Here is a 7,744-nt window from a genome sequence, read left to right as displayed (position 1 = left end):
CTTGGCTCACTGCAACCTCCATCTCTCAGGTTTAAGAGATTCTGCCCACCTCAGCCCCCCTAGTAGCTGGCACTACAGGTGCATGCCACCATGCCCAACTAATTTTTGTATTTTTTGGTGCAGACAGGGTTTCACCATTTTGGCCAGGCTGTTCTCAAACTCCCGAACCCAGGTGACTCACCCGCTTTGGCCTCCCAAAATGCTGGGATTACAGGCATGAGCCACCGCACCCGGCCCCATAGAAGCATTTTGGCACCTTATCTATCAAAGTCGCAAATGTACTTACCCTTTGACTCAGCAGTTCTTCTAAGTAATTTTATCCTACAAATACATTGCCACACATATGAAATACTCTATGTAAAAAATTATTCATTGCACCTTTACTTGTAATAGCAAAAGATTGGAAACAACCTAAATATTCATCAATAGGAGTCACTAAGGGATTGAATAAATAAATTAAGGTGTAACAATACAATGGAGCCATAAATAAAGCAATTCAGAGAATCAGCGAAGCAGAAAAAAAAAAAGAAAAAAACTTCAAAAAAAAAAAAAAGAAAGTGAAAGACCTTTCTATATAAATATATGGAACAATCTCCAAGATAGATAGATAAGTAGAAAAGCAAGGGACAGAAACAGTGTGTACAATGAGTTGCCATTTGTGTATTTGTTTAGAAAGAAGGAAGGTAGAAGAACACACACACAATTGCTTGTATATACAGAGAATATTTCCAGAAGGATTCATAAGAGCCTAGAAATATTGAATTCAGGGAGAAAAACACTGTGGCTGAAGGAAAGGTGTGTCAGTGAGACTTTTCACTGTATATCCTTTGGTATCTTTAAAATTTTGTACCATGTGATATAATCTATTCAAAAACTTGTTTTTGGCTGGGCATGGTGGCTTACGCCTATAATCCCAACACTTTGGGAGGCCAAGGCAGGCAGATCATTTGAGCCCAGGAGCTGGAGACCAGCATGGGCAACATGGCGAAACCCCCCGGTCTCTACAAAAAATTTAACAATTAGCCGGTCATAGTGGTGTGCACCTATAGTCCCAGCTACTTGGGAGGCTGAGGTGGGAGGATTGCTTGAGCTTCAGAAGTCGAGGTTCCAGTGAACTGTGATAGTGCCACTGCACTCCAACCTGGGCAACAGAGTGAGGCCCTGTGTCTAAATAAATAAATAACAAAACAAAAACAGTATTCAACCCTGTTGACTACTCTCCCCTTGAAATAACTTCTTTCTTTCTGGTATTTTTTAGATACAATGTCTCACTCTGTCACCCAGGCTGGAGGGCAGTGGTGCAATTCACTGCAACGTCAGGCTCTGGGCTCAACCGATCCTCCCACCTCAGCCTCCCGAGTAGCTGGGACTACAGGTGCAGGCCATCATCCCCGGCTATTTTTTATTATTAATTTTTGGAGAGATGGAGTTTTGCCATGTTGCCTAGGCTGGTCTCTAACTCCTGAACTCAAGCAATCCTCCCTCCTCAGCCTCCCAAAGTGCTGGGATTACAGGCATGAGCCACTGCGCCCAGCCAAAATAATTTCGTTCTCACCTTCTAGGGCACCATTCTTCTGGTGTTCTTCTTGCCTCCTTGGCCACCCTCAGTCATCTTGGTTGGATCCTCTTCTTCCTTGACCTAACTTCTAAACATTCACTCTACCTTTTGCTCTTTTCTACTCTATCCATAGTTTGCCCTAGGTGATTCCATCCAGCCCCATACTTTAAATACCATCTATCTTCCATTGACTACCTAATTTATAATCCAGCCTTACCTCTTTTCCTTGAGCTCCTAGTCTCATATATTAAATACACATGACGAATCACTGACATATCTAGTAGGCATCTCAAACTACTTAATATATCTAAAACAGAACTTTTGATTTTTCTTCCTGGAACCTCTATCTTAATCTCAGTCTTCTCTAGCTCAGTAAAAGGCTCTTCTGAATATTCAAAGTTGCTTGAGTCAAGATCCTAGGAATCACCTTCAATGCTTCTTTGATACCTATATCAAATCATCAGCAAGTTCGTTCAGTTTTGCTTTAAAAATATAGCTTAAATCCATTCACTTTTTTTTTGGTGGGGGGGGATGGGAGTCTCGCTCTGTCGGCTAGGCTAGAGTGCAGTGGTGTGATCTCAGCTCACTGCAACCCGCCTCCTGGGTTCAAGTGATTCTCCTGCCTCAGCCTCCCAAGTAGCTGGGATTACAGGCATGCGCCACCATGCCCAGCTAATTTTTGCATTTTTGGTAGAGATGGGGTTTCACCATGTTGGCCAGGCTGGTCTCGAACTTCTGGCCTCAAGTGATCTGCCCTCCTCGGCCTCCCAAAATGTTGGGATTACAGGCGTGAGGCACTGCACCTGGTGATTCACTTGTTATGTCTACAGCTTTCTAGCCTGAAGCACCATTATCTTTCTAGTGTGGTACTCATCTTTTTGCTATTATTGATAATTTAGTATTTCTACCTCCCTAAATAGACACTGAACCTGTCAAAAGGAGAGCCCATGTCTCAGTTGTCTAGTTACAATACAGTGCTTAGTATGTTATGCCCTACATAATAATAAATATTTAATAAATATTTGCTGAATAAATAAATAAATACATGATTGGAGGAATAAATGAGTGAATGGTGACAAGAACACCATGACTCAGATAGCTAACAGCACCCATAACTGGTGTCTCTGACATTTCCTTGCAGTTCATTGCTAGAAAGGTAACATCTTTACTAAAGTTTATATAGTAGGCACCCATTAGGTTTTCTGTCCAGCATCCTGTTTTCTGGAAACTCCTTCTACCTACCACCATACTAAATTCACCTGGTAGCAGCAGTAGGACTCTGGCAGCCATTCTGTGAAATTTGTGCGTATCAAAAGACAACGTAAACTAAATCAAATGAAAGGCAATATTTGTAGACAAAAGACAAATACTATGAATGTAAAAGGAACTCCTATAAATTAATAACAAAAAGATAAACAATCCAGCAGAGAAAAATGGACAATGAATAACAGCAGGCAATTTATAAAAGATGAAATAGAAAATGTCAAAAATCAGATGCGCAACTTCACTAGTAATCATGAAAATACAAAATACTTTTGGCTAGGCATGGTAGTTCACACCTGTAATCTCAGCACTTTGGGAGGCCAAGGTGGGCAAATCGCTTCAGCGCAGGAGTTCGAAACCAGCCTGGGCAACATGGTGGAAAGCCTGTCTCTACAAAAAACTTAAAAATTAGCTGGATATGATGGTGTACCCCTGTAGTCCCAGCTACTTGGGAGGCTGAGGTGGGAGGATGGCCTGAGTCCAGGAGGCAGAGGTTGCAGGGAGCTGAGATCATGCCACTGCACTCCAGCCTGAAAGACAGAGGAAGACCCTATCTCAAAAATAAAATAAAAGTCGGATGTGGTGGCTCACGCCTGTAATCCCAGCACTTTGGGAGGCTGAGGCAGGCAGATCACTTGAGATCAGGAGTTCAAAACCAGCCAGGCCAACATGGTGAAACCCCGTCCGTACTGCAAATACAAAAATTAGCTGGGTGTGGTGGCGCATGCCTGTAGTCCCAGCTACTGGGGAGGCTGAGGCAGGAGAATCACTTGAACCCAGGAGGCAGAGGTGGAAGTGACCTGAGATCGTGCCACTGCACTCCAGCCTGGGTGACAGAGCGAGACTCCATCTCAAAAATAAAATAAAGGGCTGGCCACGGTGGCTCACGCCTGCATTCCCAACACTTTGGGAGGCCGAGGTAGGTGCATCACCTGAGATCAGGAGTTTGAGACCAGCCTGACCAACATGGCAAAACCCCATCTCTACTAAAAATACAAAAATTAGCCGGGTGTAGTGACAGGCGCCTGTAATCCCAGCTACTTGGGAGGCTGAGGCAGGGAGAATCGCTTGAACCCCGGGAGGCAGAGGTTGCAGTGAGCTGAGATCATGCCGTTCCACTGCCCCCTGGGCAACAGAGCGAGACTGTCTCAAAAACAAAAATCAAAAACGTTTATAACATTTTAAATTTATCATTTTAACCTCCCCCCTTTTTTTTTGAGATGCAGTCTCGCTCTGTCGCCAGGCTGGAGTGCAGTGGCGCCATCTCGGCTCACCGCAACCTCCGCCTCCCAGGTTAATGTGATTCCCCTGCCTCAGCCTCCCCCTGCCCCCATTTTTTTTTTTTTTTGAAACGGAGTTTCACTCTTGTTGCCCAGGCTGGAATGCAATGGCTCGATCTTGGCTCACTGCAACCTCTGCCTCCTGGGTTCAAGAGATTCTCCTGCCTCAGCCTCCCAAATAGCTGGGATTACAGGCATGCGCCACCATGCCTGGCTAATTTTTTGTATTTTTAGTAGAGATGGGGTTTCACCACACTGGTCAGGCTGGTCTCGAACTCCTGACCTCAAGTGATCCACCCCCCCCCGGCCTCCCAAAGTGCTGGGATTACAGGCGTGAGCCATCACGCCCGGCCAGTTTTAACCCTTTTTGATTGTACAATTCAGTGGCAACCATCACCATTACCCATCTCCAGAACATTTTTGTCACCAAAACTTAAACTCTATACCCATTAAACAATAATTCTTCTGGCCGGGTGTGGTGGCTCATGATTGTATTCCCAGCACTTCGAGAGGTTGAGGCAGAAGGATTGTTTGAAACCAGGAGTTTGAGATCAGCCTGGGAAACTTGGCAAAATCTCATCTCTACTAAAAACACACACACACACACAAAATTAATTGGGCATCGTAGTGCATGCTTATAGTCCCAGCTACCTGGGAGGCTGAGGTGGGAGGATCACCTGAACCTAGGAGGTCGAGGCTGCAGTGAGCTGTGATCACGTCACTGCAGTCCAGCCTGGGCAACAGAGTGAGACCTTGTCTCAGAAAAAAATAAAAAATAAAACTACTAATTCCCTTACCCCCAGCCCCTGGTAACTAGTATTCTGTCTTTTGTCTCTGTGAATCTGACAATTCTAGGTACCTCACATAAGTGGAATCATGTGTTTTTCCTTTTGCATCTGGCTTATTTCACTTAGTATAATGTTTTCAAGGTTCATCATATTGTAACATGTATCAAATTTTCATTCCTTTTTTATTTTTATTTATTTATATTTTAATTTTTATTTTTGAGATAGAGTCTTGCTCTGTCACGAAGCTGGAGTGCAATGGTGTGATCTTGGCTCACCACAACTGCTGTCTCTCAGGTTCAAGTAATTCTTCTGCCTCAGCCTCCCAAGTAGCTGGGACTACGGGTGCACATGCGCGTGTGCCACCACGCCTGGCTAATTTTTGTATTTTTAGTAGAGACGGGGTTTCACCATGTTGGCCAGGCTAGTCTCAAATTCCTGACCTCAGGTGATCCACCCACCTCAGCCTCCCAAAGTGCTAGGATTACAGGCATGATCCACCTCATATTTATTTATTTTTAAGATTGAGTCTCACTCTGTTGCCCAGGCTGGAGTGCAGTGGTGCAATCTTGGCTCACTGCAGCCTCCCCCTCCTAGGTTCAAGCGATTCGCAGGCCTCAGCCTCCAGAGTAGCTGGGATTACAGGCATGCGCCACCACACCAGGCTAATTTTTTTTTTTTTTTTTTTCTGAGAGGGAGTCTTTCTCTGTTGTCCAGGCTGGAGTACAATGGCACAATCTCAGCTCACTGCAACCTCCATCTCCCAGGTTCAAGCCATTCTCCTGCCTCAGCCTCCTAAGTAGCTGAGGCTACAGGCATGTGCCACCACGCCCAGCTAATTTTTGTATTTTTAGTAGATGTTGGCCAGGCTGGTCTCGAACTCCTGATCTCAAGTGATCCACATGCCTTGGCCTCCCAAAGTGCTAGGATTACAGGTGTGAGCCACCGTGCCTGGCCTAATTTTTGTATTTTTAGAAGAGATGGGGTTTCACCATGTTGGTCAGGCTGGTCTCAAACTCCTGACCTCAAGTGATCTGCCTGCCTCGGCCTTCCAAAGTGCTGGGATTACAGGTGTAAGCCATCATGCCTGGCCTTATTGATTCCCTTTTAAGGCTGAATAATATTCCCTTGTATGTATGTATATACTACATGTTGTTTATCCATTCATCTGTTGATGGACACTTGGGTTGCTTCCACCTTTTGGCTATTGTGAATAATATTGTTATGAAATTGGGGCCAGGTGTGGTGGTTCACGCCTATAATTCCAGCACTTTGAGAGGCCGAGGTGGATGGATCGCTTGAGGCCAGGAGTTCTAGACCAGCCCGGGCAATGTGGTGAAACCCCATCTCTACTAAAAATACAAAAATTAGCCATGTGTGGTTGTGGTGGTGACTGCCTGTAGTCCCACCTACTCGGGAAGCTGAGGCAAGAGGATCGCTGGAACCCGGGAAGCAGAGGTTGCAGTGAGCCGAGATCATGTCACTGCACTCCAGCCTGGTAACAGAGCGAGATTCTGTCTCAAAAAAAAAAAAAAAGAAAAAAAGAAATGGCTATGAAATTGTTATACAAATATCCGTTCAGGGCCCTGCTGTCAATTCTTTGGGATATAATATACCCCAAAGTGGAAGTACTGGATCATATGATAATTATATTAGGTTGGTGCAAAAATAATTGCAGTTTTTGCCATTCCTTTCAATGGCAAAAACTGCAATCGCTTTTGCACCAACCTTAGTATGTTTAATGTTTGAGGAATCACCAAGCTGTTTTCTAGAATGCTGCACCATCTTACATTCCCATTAGTAATGTATGAAGGTTCCAATTTCTCCATATCCTTACCAATACTTATTATTACCTATTTTTTTGATTAGCATCATTCTAGTGGATGTGAAGTGATATCTCATTGTGGTTTTGATTTGTATTTCCCTAACATTTACTGATGTTTAGCATCATTCATGTAAATTATTGGCCATCTGTATAGCTTCTTTGGAGAAATATCTATTCAAATCCTTCGTCCTTTTTTTTTTTTTTTTTTTTTTTTTTTTGAGACAGAGTCTCGCTCTGTCGCCCAGGCTGGAGTGCAGTGGCACAATCTTGGCTCACTGCAACCTCCGCCTCCCAGGTTCAAGCAATTCTCCTGTCTCAGCCTCCTGAGTAGCTGGGACTACAGGCGCACGCCACCACACCCAGCTAATTTTTTGTATTTTATTAGAGACAGGGTTTCACCATGTTGCCCAGGCTGTTCTCGAACACCTGAACTCAGGCAACCTGCCTGCCTCGGCCTCCCAAAGTGCTAGGATTACAGGCGTGAGCCACCACGCCTGGCCTGTCCATTTTTTTAGTTGGGTTTGTTTTTCAGTCAGTGAGTTCTAGGAGTTCATCATGTGTTCTGGATATCAATCTTTTATCATATATATGATATTCAAATATTTTCTCCCATTCTGTGTGTGGCCTTTTTACTTTGTTGACAGTGTTCTTTGATGCACACAAGTTTTAAATTTTGATATAGTTCAATTTATTTATTTTTTTCTTTTCCTTTTTTAAAAATTTGTTTATATACAGGGTCTCGTTCTGTTGCCCAGGCTGGAGTGGTCAGTGGTGCAATCATAGCTAACTGTAACCTCGAACTCCTGCATACAAGCGATCCTCCCTCCTCAGCCTCTCGAGTAGCTAGAACTGCAGGCACACTCAGAGATGGGATCTGGCTAACTTGTCCAAGTGGTCTCAAACTCCTGGCCTCAAGTGATACTTCTGCCTTGGCCTCCCAAAGCGCTGAGAATACAGGCATGAGCCCCATGCCCCAATCCTCAATTTATCTATTTTTTTCTTTTGTTGCCTATGCTTTTGGTGTCATATTCAA

General features: G+C 44.2%; 1 annotated feature.

Annotated features, from left to right (window-relative positions):
• Window positions 7,089-7,312: a silencer, noted in NCBI's record as "fragment chr1:26982412-26982635 (GRCh37/hg19 assembly coordinates)". NCBI's record gives its function as "represses an EF-1alpha promoter that drives an FKBP-Casp9 reporter gene in an ReSE screen in phorbol 12-myristate 13-acetate-treated (for megakaryocytic differentiation) K562 erythroleukemia cells {active_cell/tissue: K562(+PMA)}" and the evidence as "EXISTENCE:reporter gene assay evidence [ECO:0000049][PMID:32094911]".

Source organism: Homo sapiens, chromosome 1, assembly GCF_000001405.40.
Source record: "Homo sapiens chromosome 1, GRCh38.p14 Primary Assembly".
Lineage (NCBI taxonomy): Eukaryota > Metazoa > Chordata > Mammalia > Primates > Hominidae > Homo > Homo sapiens.
Note: the sequence above shows the minus strand (reverse complement) of the source record. Positions and strands in the feature narration are given on the sequence as shown.